General features: G+C 48.5%; 1 protein-coding gene and 1 pseudogene across 5 annotated transcripts in view, besides 3 other annotated features; one reads left to right on the plus strand and one right to left on the minus strand.

The window, feature by feature from the left end:
* The window catches only part of XXYLT1 (xyloside xylosyltransferase 1), a 202876-nt gene that overhangs the window by 142407 nt on the left and 42928 nt on the right, over positions 1–17541 (minus strand). For all 5 annotated transcript variants that reach the window (XR_924105.4, NM_152531.5, XM_005269286.6 and 2 more), the window contains exon 2: positions 16019–16166. Coding sequence is in view for 4 of the 5 variants with exons in the window: in NM_152531.5 (NP_689744.3) it covers positions 16019–16166 (148 nt within the window). In the remaining variant the exon portion in view is untranslated. The remainder of the gene's footprint in view (positions 1–16018; positions 16167–17541) is intronic.
* Positions 1131–1712: an enhancer, noted in NCBI's record as "H3K4me1 hESC enhancer chr3:194932550-194933131 (GRCh37/hg19 assembly coordinates)". NCBI's record gives its function as "activates a minimal SCP1, AML or CMV promoter by ChIP-STARR-seq in naive H9 embryonic stem cells {active_cell/tissue: H9 hESC(naive)}" and the evidence as "EXISTENCE:reporter gene assay evidence [ECO:0000049][PMID:30033119]".
* Positions 1226–1399: a silencer, noted in NCBI's record as "fragment chr3:194932645-194932818 (GRCh37/hg19 assembly coordinates)". NCBI's record gives its function as "represses an EF-1alpha promoter that drives an FKBP-Casp9 reporter gene in an ReSE screen in K562 erythroleukemia cells {active_cell/tissue: K562}" and the evidence as "EXISTENCE:reporter gene assay evidence [ECO:0000049][PMID:32094911]".
* Positions 4097–4202, plus strand: RNU6-25P (RNA, U6 small nuclear 25, pseudogene; annotated as a pseudogene).
* Positions 15686–16280: an enhancer, noted in NCBI's record as "H3K27ac-H3K4me1 hESC enhancer chr3:194947105-194947699 (GRCh37/hg19 assembly coordinates)". NCBI's record gives its function as "activates a minimal SCP1, AML or CMV promoter by ChIP-STARR-seq in primed H9 embryonic stem cells {active_cell/tissue: H9 hESC(primed)}" and the evidence as "EXISTENCE:reporter gene assay evidence [ECO:0000049][PMID:30033119]".

Consider the following 17541-nt stretch of genomic DNA (forward strand, 5'->3'; position numbering starts at 1 on the left):
TCAGCTGTCCCTCTTCAGAATAAGAGAACCGAAATGCCTCAAATTTGCTCCATAAGAGCTGCCAGAAAATAGTTTTCACTGAAATCACTGGACACATGTTTATACCCTTTGTTCAGTATTTGTTCAGATGTTTTCACTCAGGCAAGTTCCTGAATGTCTGTTTTTTCCTTTGCTTTCTTCCACACCAAGAACCCCTGCTCCTCCCCCCAGCTGAACGCTGACAGTCAAGGGCAGCACCCGCCACAGCAGGAATCAGAGTTCTCCAGGCTTGGGGAACCATCAAGAAATGGCTATCCCACAAATTCAAGCTCCTGGTTGTGACTAACCCTAAGGAGTGTTCAGAGTCCACTGGATTCACCAGAAGCTGCGGGATTCCACCCCCAAAGGTTCTCCAGTGGGGTTCAGAAAAAGGGCAAAGGCAGGCCGGGCATGGTAGCTCACGCCTGTAATCCCAGCACTCTGGGAGGCTGAAGCAGGTGACTCACCTAAGGTGAGGAGTTCGAGACCAGCCTGGCCAACATGGTGAAACCCCGTCTCTACTAAAAATACAAAAATTAGCCGGGCGTGGTGGCTCACGCCTGTAATCCCAGCTACTTGGGAGGCTGAGGCAGGAGAATCGCTTGAACCAGGAGGTGGAGATTGCAGTGAGCCAAGATCGAGCCTCTGCACTCCAGGCTGGGTGACAGAGCAAGACTCCATCTCAAAAGAAGAAAAAGGGCGAAGGCAGTGAGCCAGCTCTGGCAGACTGAGGGGACCCCTAAAATAAAGTAGTTCAAGATAACACCTAACAAAACGGTATTCATTTAATTCATTTGATGAATATTTATTGACTGCCTACTATGTGTCTGTATCGCTCTGGGAACTGGGAACACAGCAGTGAATGAAACACACAGAACTTCCTGCCCCCATGGAGCTTACATCTGGGTGGGGCAGATAGATGATCAAAACAAACAAAAAAAAGCAAAATCCATTCCACATGAGCAGACGATAAGAACTATGAAGAGAAAGAAAGCAAGGAAGGGCCAGGGCCCTTCATCACAGAAGATGAGCACGATTTCACACAGGACGGCCAGGGATGGCCTCATTGCACAAAGATCTGGAGGAGGAGAGGGGGCAAGCCACGGAATGCCACCGGGAAGATCTGGAGGAGGAGAGGGGGCAAGCCACGGAATGCCACCAGGAAGATCTGGAGGAGGAGAGGGGGCAAGCCACAGAATGCCACCAGGAAGATCTGGAGGAGGAAAGGGGGCAAGCCACGGAATGCCACCAGGAAGATCTGGAGGAGGAGAGGGGGCAAGCCACAGAATGCCACCAGGAAGATCTGGAGGAGGAGAGGGGGCAAGCCACAGAATGCCACCGGGAAGATCTGGAGGAGGAGAGGGGGCAAGCCACGGAATGCCATGGGAAGATCTGGAGGAGGAGAGGGGGCAAGCCACGGAATGCCACCGGGAAGATCTGGAGGAGGAGAGGGGGCAAGCCATGGAATGCCACCGGGAGAGTGGCCCAGGTGGAGGGAGCAGGAAGCGGGGGTGGCCACGGTAGGGTGAGTGACAGCACAGTGCAGGCTGAAGCCAGGGCTGCTGGATCCGATGGGATCGGATCCGACAGGATGGGATGCGAGGATCTGCCACTGGGAAGAAAAGGGCCTTGCCCACAGGCTCACAGAAACGTGGTAACGGAGTTAAATTCTGGTCAGCTGCACCTGGTGTGGCCTTTTGGGGACACACAGAACAGGCTGGGTTCCAGTTTCCCAGGACAGCCCTTCAGAAGACAGTGAGTCTTCTGGGGCAGGGTCCCCAAGCCCCATGCGAACAGGTACAGGTCAGTGGCCTGGTAGGAACCCGGCCGCACAGCAGGCGGTGGGAGGCGGGCCAGTGAGCATCACCACCTGGGCTCCACCTCCTGTCAGATCAGCAGCATCAGATTCTCAAAGAAACACAAACCCTACTGTGAACTGCGCATGCGAGGGATCTAGGCTGCATGCTCCTTATGAGACTCTGACGAATGCCTGATGATCTGAGGTGGAACCGTTTCATCCCAAAACCAGCCCCCAACCACCCCTCGGTCCACTGAAAAACTGTCTTCTGTGAAACCAGTCACTGGTGCCACAAAGGCTGAGGACTGCTGTTCTAAGGCGTTTAGGCCCAGTTCCCTTGAGGGTTGATGTTGAGAACCCTCAGTCACCCTCTGGGTTGAGATCCTCTGAAGCCACTTGTTGGTCAGTGCCGCGAGGGCGCTCCACCCATGGTATGCCGCCAGACCCACACCTCCTCTTCAACAACTCCATCCCCGGGGCCCCCACCACAATTCATGATCCACGGAAAGTCCTCCCAATCCCTCTGGGTCCAAGGCAAACCCAAAGCTATTTCAAATCTGGAAGTACAACCAAGTAAGTGAATAATTAAAATGGCACACCCAACGACATGCTCTATTGGCAGGGGACAGGAAAGGCTGGCTGATATGAGGTAGCTTTGGCTGGAAGGTGAGGCTTTCCTGCCCACATCCGCATCCCAACAGAGAGCTACACAAGTGTTATTTATTACGCTAATCTGAGGGCAGCACTTCTTTCTTTCTTTTTTTTTTTTTTTTTTGAGACGGAGCTTCGCTCTTGTTGCCCAGGGTGGAGCACAATGGCACAATCTTGGCTCACCGCAACCTCCACTTCCTGGGTTCAAGTGATTCTCCTGCCTCAGCCTCCCGAGTAGCTGGGATTACAGGCATGCGCCACCATGCCCAGCTAATTTTGTATTTTTAGTAGAGATGGGGTTTCTCCATGTTGGTCGGGCTAGTCTCAAACTCCCAACCTCAGGTGATCCACCTGCCTCAGCCTCCCAAAGTGCTGGGATTACAGGCGTGAGCCACCACGCCCGGCGAGGGCAGCATTTCTTAAAGTGAGTACTGTGGAAAACCCGCTCTCAGAATGTGAATAGGTATTCCTCAAAAAGGCATTCTGTGGTCAATCGTGTGTAAGCGATGTTGGTTACACAAAGCTAAATGTTTTTTACTGCAGTACCTATCAGAGCTTTTGGTTTGCTCCAAAGGGAAAAGTACTAATACTATCTAACACTTACCAAGCATCTCTCGGTATCAGGCCCTGGAACTTTTCACACAGTATCTCAGCCAGTCCTCCCCACCACCCCGGTGAGGCCTACATGGTCACTATTCCCATTTTACAGACAAAGAATGCTGCTCAGAGAAGGCAGGTTTTCACTCACGATCTGTGTTAGGAGTCACGAGGGGTTTAGGCAATACCAGATGTGATTTTGGTTTCTGAAAGCAAAACATTAGGAGCCATCGCAGGTGGGAGATTCAAAAGCCACTGTTACCTGCATCACTGGGGTGGAATGCAGAACTCTCTGGTAAACCAGGTTAGAGAATGTGGCTTAGGCTCAAAGTCTGAGCAAGACCTTAGACTCCTCCAGCCCCGTTTGCCTGAGGGGTAGAGAAGACAGCAGAAAGCAGTGTCCCTTCCCCTCCTCTGCAGAGGTCAGCCCCGTTACAGTTCACTTCTCCTGCCTCAGGGCTAAGAAGAAAATTCCAGAAAGAAGGAAAGCCCCCTCTGTGCATGGGACCATGCTCACTAGTCAACAGGGTCCTGGAATCACATTCTATTCCACCCTCCTATGGGGCAGAATCAGGGAGGGAGGAGGCTCTCCCTCTTCCCTGCATCAGCCAACCAGGATACTAAAGGGCAGAGTGAGACCTCACTCCCAGGCCTGCTGACCCCACCCATGTCCATCCTAAACCAGCCCCCACCCCCGTCAATCCTCAGACCACTTCTTTCTGAAGCAAGCAGGGGCCACAGGGCTAACTATGGGAACCAGCATGCACCGTCAGCCCCTTTCAGTCAGGATCTCAGAGGCTGGAAAACCATCTACATACGGCATCCACAATCGTAGGGGGGCAGTGGCGCCCTTGTGTCTGCTTTCTCCTGGTACTGAGGCTGATGGAGCAGGGGCAGAGAACAGGCTGCCCTGGAATCTCCAATCCTTATCCACTGTACCCCAGGTTCCAGAACGCACGCACATCCCCCTGCAGGAACCCTCCCCTTAGAAACATGTCTGCCTCATGACGGCTAATTAAACATTGATTACTGGTGCTCGCTTCGGCAGCACATATACTAAAATTGGAACGATACAGAGAAGATTAGCATGGCCCCTGCGCAAGGATGACATGCAAATTCGTGAAGCGTTCCATATTTTTGGAAAAAATGTTAAGGGCAGCCAGAGAGAAAGGTCGGGTTACCCTCAAAGGGAAGCCCATCAGACTAACAGCGGATCTCTCGGCAGAAACCCTACAAGCCAGAAGAGAGTGGGGGCCAATATTCAACATTCTTAAAGAAAAGAATTTTCAACCCAGAATTTCATATCCAGCCAAACTAAGCTTCATAAGTGAAGGAGAAATAAAATACTTTACAGACAAGCAAATGCTGAGAGATTTTGTCACCACCAGGCCTGCCCTAAAAGAGTTCCTGAAGGAAGCACTAAACATGGAAAGGAACAACCGGTACCAGCCGCTGCAAAATCATGCCAAAATGTAAAGACCATCGAGACTAGGAAGAAACTCCATCAACTAACGAGCAAAATAACCAGCTAACATCATAATGACAGGATCAAATTCACACATAACAATATTAACTTTAAATGTAAATGGACTAAATGCTCCAATTAAAAGACACAGACTGGCAAATTGGATAAAGAGTCAAGACCCATCAGTGTGCTGTATTCAGGAAACCCATCTCACGTGCAGAGACACACATAGGCTCAAAATAAAAGGATGGAGGAAGATCTACCAAGCCAATGGAAAACAAAAAAAGGCAGGGGTTGCAATCCTAGTCTCTGATAAAACAGACTTTAAACCAACAAAGATCAAAAGAGACAAAGAAGGCCATTACATAATGGTAAAGGGATCAATTCAACAAGAAGAGCTAACTATCCTAAATATATATGCACCCAATACAGGAGCACCAAGATTCATAAAGCAAGTCCTGAGTGACCTACAAAGAGACTTAGACTCCCAAACATTAATAATGGGAGACTTTAACACCCCACTGTCAACATTAGACAGATCAAAGAGACAGAAAGTCAACAAGGATACCCACGAATTGAACTCAGCTCTGCACCAAGCGGACCTAATAGACATCTACAGAACTCTCCACCCCAAATCAACAGAATATACATTTTTTTCAGCACCACACCACATCTATTCCAAACTTGACCACATACTGGGAAGTAAAGCTCTCCTCAGCAAATGTAAAAGAACAGAAATTATAACAAACTATCTCTCAGACCACAGTGCAATCAAACTAGAACTCAGGATTAAGAATCTCACTCAAAACCGCTCAACTACATGGAAACTGAACAACCTGCTCCTGAATGACTACTGGGTACATAACGAAATGAAGGCAGAAATAAAGATGTTCTTTGAAACCAACGAGAACATACCAGAATCTCTGGGACACATTCAAAGCAGTGTGTAGAGGGACATTTATAGCACTAAGTGCCCACAAGAGAAAGCAGGAAAGATCCAAAATTGACACCCTAACATCACAATTGAAAGAACTAGAAAAGCAAGAGCAAACACATTCAAAAGCTAGCAGAAGGCAAGAAATAACTAAAATCAGAGCAGAACTGAAGGAAATAGAGACACAAAAAACCCTTCAAAAAATTAATGAATCCAGGAGCTGGTTTTTTGAAAGGATCAACAAAATTGATAGACCACTAGCAAGACTAATAAAGAAAAAAAGAGAGAAGAATCAAATAGACGCAATAAAAAATGATAAAGGGGATATCACCACCGATCCCACAGAAATACAAACTACCATCAGGGAATACTACAAACACCTCTACGCAAATAAACTAGAAAATCTAGAAGAAATGGATAAATTCCTCGACACATACACTCTCCCAAGACTAAACCAGGAAGAAGTTGAATCTCTGAATAGACCAATAACAGGAGCTGAAATTGTGGCAATAATCAATAGCTTACCAATCAAAAAGAGTCCAGCACCAGATGGATTCACAGCCGAATTCTACCAGAGGTACAAGGAGGAACTGGTACCATTCCTTCTGAAACTATTCCAATCAATAGAAAAAGAGGGAATCCTCCCTAACTCATTTTATGAGGCCAGCATCATTCTGATACCAAAGCCAGGCAGAGACACAACAAAAAAAGAGAATTTTAGACCAATATCCTTGATGAACATTGATGCAAAAATCCTCAATAAAATACTGGCAAAACGAATCCAGCAGCACATCAAAAAGCTTATCCACCATGATCAAGTGGGCTTCATCCCTGGGATGCAAGGCTGGTTCAATATACGCAAATCAATAAATGTAATCCAGCATGTAAACAGAGCCAAAGACAAAAACCACATGATTATCTCAATAGATGCAGAAAAAGCCTTTGATAAAATTCAACAACCCTTCATGCTAAAAACTCTCAATAAATTAGGTATTGATGGGATGTATTTCAAAATAATAAGAGCTATCTATGACAAACCCACAGCCAATATCATACTGAATGGGCAAAAACTGGAAGCATTCCCTTTGAAAACTGGCACAAGACAGGGATGCCCTCTCTCACCACTCCTATTCAACATAGTGTTGGAAGTTCTGGCCAGGGCAATTAGGCAGGAGAAGGAAATAAAGGGTATTCAATTAGGAAAAGAGGAAGTCAAATTGTCCCTGTTTGCAGACGACATGATTGTATATCTAGAAAACCCCATTGTCTCAGCCCAAAATCTCCTTAAGCTGATAAGCAACTTCAGCAAAGTCTCAGGATACAAAATCAATGTACAAAAATCACAAGCATTCTTATACACCAACAACAGACAAACAGAGAGCCAAATCATGAGTGAACTCCCATTCACAATTGCTTCAAAGAGAATAAAATACCTAGGAATCCAACTTACAAGGGATGTGAAGGACCTCTTCAAGGAGAACTACAAACCACTGCTCAAGGAAATAAAAGAGGATACAAACAAATGGAAGAACATGCCATGCTCATGGGTAGGAAGAATCAATATCATGAAAATAGCCATACTGCCCAAGGTAATTTACAGATTCAATGCCATCCCCATCAAGCTACCAATGACTTTCTTCACAGAATTGGAAAAAACTACTTTAAAGTTCATATGGAACCAAAAAAGAGCCCGCATCGCCAAGTCAATCCTAAGCCAAAAGAACAAAGCTGGAGGCATCACACTACCTGACTTCAAACTATATTACAAGGCTACAGTAACCAAAACAGCATGGTACTGGTACCAAAACAGAGATATAGGCCAACGGAACAGAACAGAGCCCTCAGAAATAACGCCGCATGTCTACAACTATCTGATCTTTGACAAACCTGACAAAAACAAGTAATGAGGAACGGATTCCCTATTTAATAAATGGTGCTGGGAAAACTGGCTAGCCATATGTAGAAAGCTGAAACTGGATCCCTTCCTTACACCTTATACAAAAATCAATTCAAGATGGATTAAAGACTTAAACGTTAGACCTAAAACCATAAAAACCCTAGAAGAAAACCTAGGCATTACCATTCAGGACATAGGCATGGGCAAGGACTTCATGTCTAAAACACCAAAAGCAATGGCAACAAAAGACAAAATTGACAAATGGGATCTAATTAAACTAAAGAGCTTCTGCACAGCAAAAGAAACTACCATCAGAGTGAACAGGCAACCTACAGAATGGGAGAAAATTTTCGCAACCAACTCATCCGACAAAGGGCTAATATCCAGAATCTACAATGAACTCAAACAAATTTACAAGAAAAAAACAAACAACCCCATCAAAAAGTGGGCGAAGGACATGAACAGACACTTCTCAAAAGAAGACATTTATGCAGCCAAAAAACACATGAAAAAATGCTCATCATCACTGGCCATCAGAGAAATGCAAATCAAAACCACAATGAGATACCATCTCACACCGGTTCGAATGGCAATCATTAAAAAGTCAGGAAACAACAGGTGCTGGAGAGGATGTGGAGAAATAGGAACACTTTTACACTGTTGGTGGGACTGTAAACTAGTTCAACCATTGTGGAAGTCAGTGTGGCGATTCCTCAGGGATCTAGAACTGGAAATACCATTTGACCCAGCCATCCCATTACTGGGTATATACCCAAAGGACTATAAATCATGCTGCTATAAAGACACACGCACCCGTATGTTTATTGCGGCATTATTCACAATAGCAAAGACTTGGAACCAACCCAAATGTCCAACAATGATAGACTGGATTAAGAAAATGTGGCACATATACACCATGGAATACTATGCAGCCATAAAAAATGATGAGTTAATGTCCTTTGTAGGGACATGGATGAAATTGGAAATCATCATTCTCAGTAAACTATCACAAGAACAAAAAACCAAACACAGCATATTCTCACTCATAGGTGGGAACTGAACAATGAGATCACATGGACACAGGAAGGGGAATATCACACTCTGGGGACTGTTGTGGGGTGGTGGGAGGGGGGAGGGATAGCATTGGGAGATATACCTAATGCTAGATGACGAGTTAGTGGGTGCAGCGCACCAGCATGGCACATGTATACATATGTAACTAACCTGCACAATGTGCACATGTACCCTAAAACTTACAGACCTCCCATGGCAGTGAGTAAAAGTACAAAAAGTACAGAACAAATAAATGAAAACTCAATATGGCTTTTACTACATTTGTCAAATTTTACTTAAGGAAAAAAGAAAAGATGGTATTTTAAAGGCTTTCTGCAAAAGGCCACACACACACTGACCTCAGTGTTTCAGGGCAGGCAGGCAGGAAGGGAAGAAGGAATGAGGAAGGGAAGGAGGGAGGGAAGGAGCTGCTGGTCTAGAATTTCCCATGTGGGTTTTGCCCCAAGCCTGCAGGCATTCTGGCCCTGCCTCAGTTCTTTCTCATGCAGGCCTGTGAACCTAGGCTAAGAAGCATCCAGTGTCAACTACCTGAATCTTACACCAGCCTTTGCCACCCAGCAGCACTGACCCAAAGTGGACCCAAGAATGTCCTTGAAAGAGACCAACCATCTGCCTGCAGCCTCAAGACAGTAAGGCCCCCATGACAGACACTGAAATAAGGACTCTCAGGGGTGATAACACTCAGGAGGCCAGGAGAGCTGGATGGGGCCACCCCAATTTGTTGCCAGCTGGCTTTGCTGTTCTTTTCTACAATGGCAAGCGTCACACTAGGCTTCAAGAGATTCGGGCAGAGGCTCGGGCCCAAATCCTACCTTTTGAGGGATTTTATAACAGCTTGCATTTGTCTGGTCTTTTATCCACTCCCATAGATCTCCGCAGGAAACGAGCAGGCTGGGGCTGATGGTGGCAATAATCACATGCTAAATGTTATGGAGATTTCAGAAACCCTGATGCTGGGAGCTGGGGGGAGGGGAGGCTGGGGCGGATATATGAAGCATTTTTGGCAGCATTACTTTTTCTGTTGTTTGAGACAGAGTCTCACTCTATTACACTGTTACCCCGGCTGGAGTACAGTGGTGCTATCTAGGCTCACTGCAACCTCCGCCTCCTGGGTTCAAGCGATTCTCCCGCCTCAGCCTCCCAAGTAGCTGGGACTACAGGCGCCCATCACCACACCTGGCTAATTTTTTTGTATTTTTAGTAGAAATGGGGTTTCACCATGTTGGCCAGGCTGGTATCGAACTCCTGACCTCAGATGATCCGCCCGCCTCGGTCTCCCAAAGTGCTGGGATTACAGGCGTGAGCCACCTCGCCCGGCCGGGCCCATGCTCTTAACCACGACACCATAGGGCCTCTTTTAAATAACCTCCCAAGATCACGAAGCCTTGACCTTGGGAGTCACAGTGTTGCAATCTGCACTCAGCTCTGTCCGATCCTGAGCCTGGACTCCTACTCTCTCTGATACACCAATCCCCCTTTCAGCCTGCTCAGACCTGCCTGCCTCAGTGCTCCCTACACTGGACATTAAGAGACGATCAGACGCAGCCACTCACAGCCCCGAGCAGTACAATGAATGGAGCCTATCGCATGAAATGCTGAAGGGGTCCTTCGAAGCCTCTGGGCTCCCACAGCCCATGGCCAGTGGCACCTGTCAGGAGGCAGACACTACCAGCAGGTTGTGTGTGATGGGGTCCAAGCAAGGGACATGTGACCTTTGAAAAGTGACTATCCACATTCTTTAAGCATGGATGACATAGAGTGACTTCCCTCCAAAGAATATAGTATGGCAAGGGGGAAAAGAATAATTTACAGTGGAGAAACCTGACAAACACGACTTCAGCCCAGTGATCGAGGTCAACAGCAACAGTGATAAACCATGTACCCTTGATAGAATGTGGTGTGTCACTGATATGATGTGAGGGAAACAGCTCTTCTCCTCCACGGCATTCCTCCCATAACCTCCCAAAAACCCGTAACCTCAGTCTAATGATGAGAAAAACATCAGATAAATCCTAATTGGGAAACACTCTATAAAACAGCTGACCGGTATTTCTCAAAACTGTCAAGGTCATCAAAAACAAGGCAAGTTGGAGAAAATTTCACAGCCACCTCCTCCAGGAAGGCTTCCTTCTTCCTGCAAATGCCTGTGACCTGTCCTCTTCTGAAGCCCTCAGCATTGGGTGGCTCTTCATGTTGCCTGCCCTCATTGCTGGACCATGCCACCTGCCCCACTGACATGAGCCCATGAAGCAGCAGCCCAGCAAACATCTCTGAGACACCCAGGGTGGCCAGCACCATGTCTTGCAAACAGTAGCGCTTAGCATAGGCTGGGTATTGACAAAGGATTGACTGCAGGACAGGAGAGCCTTCCAGGGGTGCATGGGGGATGACAGGAGAGTCTCCTGGGGGCCTCTGGCCAGCCTAGAGCCCTGCTGCTTGTCTGGAGGCCTGCCTGCCCTGCTCAGGGAGAACCCACAACCACAGAGCATGCGCCCTAGCACAGCCCATACTGCTGAGCTGGAGCCAGCAGCGCCTCAGGCCATGTGACCCAGGAGGGGGAAGCTGGCAGTCCTGGAGGAGTTGCCCTTGGCTCCCTCCAGCTCCAGTGCGGCAAAAAATGTTTTTTTTTTTCCATTGCATAAGATGCTTCCAGTGGCGACAAACCCAACACCACAGACAAATGGAAATAAAAGCCCCGTGGATGTGGGTGAAGAGCAGAGAGTGGCTGTGTCTGTGGAGGGCACACAGGCAGGCAAGCATGAGCAGCGAGACCAGCCGCATGTGAATCCCCAACAAGCAAGGAAGAGAAAAACAAGCTCTGACCAAAGTCAGAGCCAGCATGTCCCGCCTGGCAGGACCCCTTCGTTCTTCCTGAGGCCCTTGCTCAGATGTGGTTCTGGGCGCTCCTGCTCCAAGGGGGCGATCAGGGCAAAACTCATGGGTTTGACCAGCCCAACCCTATCCCAGCCAGGTCCCCTCTGTGGGGCTGCGACATGGGGCCCAGAAGACAGGCAAGGATGCCAAGTCCTGTAAGTTTCACAGGGCTGGGCATGTGTAAGAGGCTGGGTGTCCACATCTGGACATCAGAATGGGCATAAGCTCCGGACTGAGAACTCCCAGGGCAAGGAGGACACAGATCGCTGGAGAACTCGGAGAAGCGGCCTAACCTCTCAGCTCCTCCCTTTCCTTTCCTGTCCAGTGGGGACAGCCACTGTCTCGAAGCTCTTAAGTGGCTGCCTGAGGTGGCCCATGTGAGAGGTCAGACACTAACAGGCTTAGAACTGTACAGACACCAGTAGGCTTCAAACTATACAGAAGCTCACCTGTGTGAGTCGACAACCCTGGGCGGCTGGGGGTTGACACACCCTGGCCTTATAAGGGTCACCTCTGGCCCAGTAATGCTACCCTTGGGAGCTATCATAGGGAAGAATCCTAATGAGAGAAAATAATCTGTATGCATGTGGATATCCATCGTATAATTTACAATACTAGAAAATATAGAAAGCAGCTAGCTAGCTGAGAACAGGGAAATGAGAAAGTGAACGGAGGTTCATCTACTCAATAAAACCATTCAAAAAATTTTCAAAGACTATAATTACACAGAAAATGGGGACGTGAGCCATTAACTGAAAAAATCATGACATAGCTTCATTTGTACAATTTCTTTCATGGGGGTTGAAATGAAGATTCAACTTCAAATCTTCATCTATAAAAAAAGACTCAGAATGATTTGATATATAGGATAACTCCTACTTTGCCTAAATGTTTAAAAAGCTACATGTTGGGAATATAAAGAAGATAAAGAATCAGTAATGATGGCCAGGTGCAGTGGCTCACACCTGTAATCCTAGCACTTTGGGAGGCCAAAGCGGGCAGATCACGTAAGGTCAGGAGTTCGAAACCAGCCTGGCCAATATGGTGAAACCCCATCTCTACTAAAAATACAAAAAAAAAAAAAATTAGCCGGACATGGTGGCGGGTGCCTGTAATCTCATCTACTTGGGAGGCTGAGGCAGGAGAATTGCTTGAACCCGGGAAGCAGAGGTTGCAGTGAGCCGAGGTTGTGCCACTGCACTCCAGCCTGGGCGAGAGTGAGACTCTGTCTCAAAAAAAAAGTAAGCACATTTTAAAAATAGTTTAGGTACAGAAGGATGACCCTCATGCTACAGAAGGGAAGGCGGGAGGAGAGCTTTAAACACAGAAAAAGAATTTGGATTTCTGGGGCAAACACTAGACAGGACCTCCAGGAGGAACTCAGAGGAGCACAGGCTTTTCTGACCCAGCCCTCCTGGGTGAGACCAAGGGTTCAGGCTCCACCCATACTCCACTCTCACTTTCCTGGAGAAAAACGAATGCTATGAAAGAAACAGAATAGCCAATGTAACAAGAATGCAGCAATTACATGACAACAAAACCATCAACCAAAGCACAAAACAACACTCATTTCTATGATTAAAAAACAATGAATGCAAAAAAGGCAGCAGTTAAGAATCATGACAAACTCAAGACAGCACGAATGATGTCTGAAAACAGAGTGTCCTTCCAAAAACTGCAGGAATTCCAAATGATCTCGGTAGGAACTCCCCAGTGCTGCCAAGTGTGCCAGGCCAGACTTCCTGGCAGGACACACCCCAGACGCCACAGGAAACTCAAGGACCGCTCATTTTATTTTATGACTATCAAATTTTAGTAACTCCTAATAACTGTTTTCTTAGGAAAAGGCTTTGGGGCACATGTAAAAATGAATTGCTGCCGGGCGCGGTGGCTCATGCCTGTAATCCCAGCACTTTGGGAGGCCGAGGCGGGCGGATCATCTGAGGTCAGGAGTTTGAGACCAGCCTGACCAACATGGAGAAACTCCGTCTCTACTAAAAATACAAAACTAGCCAGGCGTGGTGGCACATGCCTGTAATCCCAGCTACTCGAGAGGCTGAGGCAGGAGACTCGCTTGAACCCAGGAGGCAGAGGTTGCAGTGAGCCGAGATTGCTAAACCACTGCACTCCAACCTGGGCAACAAGAGCAAAACTCCGCCTAAAAATAAAAAAGAATTGCTGGAAGCACATTATCACTCCCCTGAAGAACCCCTGAAAAGACTGTGTGTTTGGGTCGGCTGGAGGCACATCTAAAATAACTCCTTCCCCACCTCCTGATGCATGCCCCTCAGAGGGTGGGGCCCACACCTGGAGGGACACCAATGATGCGTCCATTTACTGCATCGACTGCAAAGCTCTAGCCAGAGCCTTTTCTCTGCAGACATCACTGCCCCCCTGAGCTATGCCAGGCTCTTGGACAGGGCTAAGTCAGAGAGGGCCAGAGCACCTTCCTGGCATAATTCTCACCCTCTCCCAGAGCTTAGGAGCTCCCTAACTCTTGTCATCGGTCCCTGCACAATTCATTGCCTGGCTGTCCTATAGCTGGAGGCAGAAGAATTTTCTCTTCCCTGACAAACCACGAGGAGCTGTATTTCACCTCCTGCTGGGTACTCCACAGCATAACCCAGCCCAGAGTTGAGCACGCAATGGGCAGGAACCTGACAGCTGACAGAGGGAAAGAGGCAGGAGGGAGGGAGGTGAAGGGAGGGCAGGCGTGCCTCCCCCTGGCTCCCTAGAACTACAGAAACCCCTAGCGGGGATTCCTGCAAGCCCTGGGCTCTTCAGAATGCAAGTTGAAACAGCTCACTGCCGCAGCCCCTCATTTCACAGGTGGGGAAACTGGTGAGGCCAAGAGAGACAAAGTGGCTCAGCCCTAGGCACATACGTGGCTAATGGCGGAGCTGTGAGCAACACCTCCATCTGTCTGCCCTCTAGAATCTAGAACAGAACCACGTCCTTCTCAAGTCTGAGCCACCCACAGCTCCTGTACTGGGCTGTCCAGAGAGGTCATGTATGGGGCACCTGATGGGGTAGAAGTAACTATTTGGAGAAGCAGCTTCCAACCCTGGCTCTGCCACTTAAAAGGCTGTATAACCCTGGGCAGGTCTTGCAACTCCTCAGCTTCACCTGTAACCCCACAGGATGGGTAGAAGGGTTGGTGAGCTGACAGAGCTGCACCTGGGTCACTGCAAAGGCTCACCAATGCTAGATCTTCACCCTAGGCCCTGTCGGTGAGCTCGTCTCCTCTCTTCTTCAGACTCCTGCCCAGTGGAGCCCCCTGAGCCCTTGCCTCACAACAAAGAGGACACTCAGAGGCCTCCAGAGTGCTGGAACTTGCCTGCAAAGTCCCAGCCAGAATGGATGGGCTTGCTTTTCCCTGTGGCAGGACAACCTCCCAACAGGAACCGAGCTTCAACTCTCAACTCCTGAGTCTCTGGTTCACCAAGCACCTTCTTTTTCACTTCTGGTCTGCTGGGCTGGAGGAGCAGGCCTCCACCATATGGCCCACTGTCCCCTGGGCTACCAGGACCTGCCTGGTCTGGAAACTGCTGGAAAACTCATCCAGCCACAGTTCAGATAACTGCTACCCTAAGGCCCCAAACACCCCTTCTCACCATTAAGAGGCTCAGGACATGGTTCACCATGGCCAGAAACTGGTTGATATGGTTTGGCTGTGTCCCCACCCAAATCTCATCTTGAATTGTAGTTCCCATAATCCCCACATGTGGTGGGGGGGACCTGGTGGGGGGTAATTTAATCATGGGGGGCAGTTATCCTCATGCTGTTCTCATGCTAGTGAGTGAGTTCTCTGAGATCCAACGGTTTTATAAGGGGCTTTTCCCCCTTTTCCTTGGCACTTCTCCTTGGTGTCGGCATGTGAAGAAGGACGTATTTGCTTCCCCTTCCATGACTGTAAGTTTCCTGAGGCCTCCCCAGCCATGCTGAACTGTCTATTAAACCTCTTTCCTTTATAAATCACCCAGTCTCAGGTATGTCTTTATGAACAGCGTGAGAACAGATTAATACACTGGTCAATATCCAGGGCTCCAGAACCCATTAAGGATCACTGTAGGGAGATCCTAGAAACCAGACACACTCTAGGAGTTAGACCCTCCAAGGCTTCCAGTCCAAGCATGACCAGACCTGCCAGAAATTCCACATAAGCTGGACCTATCACACACTGGATGATGCATCTCTCTTTCCTGGAGACAGACGCCCAGAAAATCCTTCTAATTGCGCATCAGAGTTTCTTCAGAAGTTCTACATGGTCGTAATTTGCACCTCTCACATCTAGATTTGCTATTTTAAAATCAGATAAATACAGATTCAAACTAGAAAGAACAAGAGCATAAATTTGGATGGAGGATCATCTAATCCAACCCACCATTTTTCAGATGAGCAAACAAAGTATGGGGGTTGAGCAGTGGGGAAAGAAGGGGGCGAGTGCAAGGGGCAGAGTCCAGACCAGAGCCCAGAGACCCCCTGTGTCCTCATAAATGGACCCCGGGAGCTATGCAACCAAGGCCCTGCCCTTGATTCTTGGTGTAGGAAGCTCGGTGGTACAAAGGGCTTGGTCTGGCTCCCTCGTCCACTCTTTCATGTTCAGTGGAGCTATTCTCCCTGATACAGGGCCTGGGCAGTGTTGGAACCAGGGAAATGGATGCAAAAGTCAGACACCCAGGGGCTATTGCTCCTGGAAGCCCAGGTTACCTTTGGGCATGATCTGATGCATGGCGACCGAGAGGAAGAAGATGGAGTCACTGTAGTAGGTTCCCAAGCCAGCACTGAAGTGCTTCTGCATGGCCTCCACGATGGGGAAGAGCTTATCCGTCAGCACAGCAACATCGTGGAAGATGACCTGCAGCAGGTGCAAAAAAAACCAAGGCTCAGCAAACCAGTTCTCACTGCAAGCTCAACACCCAACAAGCACCTGGGCCCACAGAGGCAGAGGCAGACAGTGCCTCTCCAGGGTCCACAAGCAGGGGATGGGGCTAGGGGTAGCAACGGAGAGTTAAGGAAACGAGAAACAACCAGGAGTCAGAATTGAGGCCGCACTAAGGAGATGGGGACACTGTGTGAGGGGTGGCATGCAGGCATGCATGTACGGGCTGTGCAGTGGAAGAGAAGTGGGAGGACAGGAAATGGAAACAGCCCCTAGTCTGCTTCCTGCTTTTGAACATGAAGCTGGGCCCCCCTGAAGGTAGCTCTGTGCCCAGCGACTGGAAACCACGTGAGAGTGTGTGATCCTCATCACATTGCATGGCTAACACTGCTCCAGGCATCGCCACCTCCTGGTGGCCACTGCATCTGTTCCATAGGCCAGTCCGATGCTCCAGCTCTACCTCCCTCATCCAACAGTGTGAACAAGGAGAGGGTCTGGCCACTGGAAAATGGAACCCGGAAACTGCTCTGTGCTGCAGTAAACTCACACTCAACTAGCATTTCTTGAGTATCACTGACACTCTGGAGGCACTGTGAGAAGTATAAGGAATAACCAGGTACACTTTCCTCAAAGCACTTAGAAGTCCAGAGGTATAATCAGCTACGGCAGAGCTTTGCAATTTATGAAACACTCTCACATACCCACACTGATCCCCACGACAACCTAGGGCTTCTGTGAGGCAGACATCACTATTATAGCCTCCAAATTACAAATAAGGACGCAGACACTCAGACAGGTTACACTTGCAGCAAGTCACACAGATAATAAATGCAGAGTCAGAACTTGACCCTGGCCTCCAGATTCTCAGCCCCACACTCTTTCCACCATAAACGCATCCTCATTCCTTAACAGCAACCAACAAAGGATGAAGACATCAGCTCAACCCGCGATTAGAGCAGACAAGAGTACTAACGCGATCCTGAGTTGGGTTTCCTTGTCTAACTCTACTCCAGAAGATGAGAAGTATGGCCCATGCGCAGCCCCAGCTTCACATGTGATACCAGATGACCATGTACTGGTCCCACAGGTCTTGCAAGTTTTTCCTGTTGTTCCATGTGCCCCCACAGGATCTAGATCCTTCTACGACACACAGGAGGCACTCAAGCCAGAAGGCTGGGTGTTCCTCCACCTTCTTCCTCAGTGCTCCTAAGAGTTCTGCAAGCGCCACCTCCCGCCACCATCTTCTCTGGTATGTGACAGGACAAGCCTGCCACACTGCATCCTAGCTGCTCAATCACCACCTCATCAACTCCGAAGAGCCCACCTGAACAGGTGCCAGCAGCAAAAGGCA

The sequence above is a fragment of the Homo sapiens genome, chromosome 3, assembly GCF_000001405.40.
Source record: "Homo sapiens chromosome 3, GRCh38.p14 Primary Assembly".
Taxonomy (NCBI): Eukaryota; Metazoa; Chordata; class Mammalia; order Primates; family Hominidae; genus Homo; species Homo sapiens.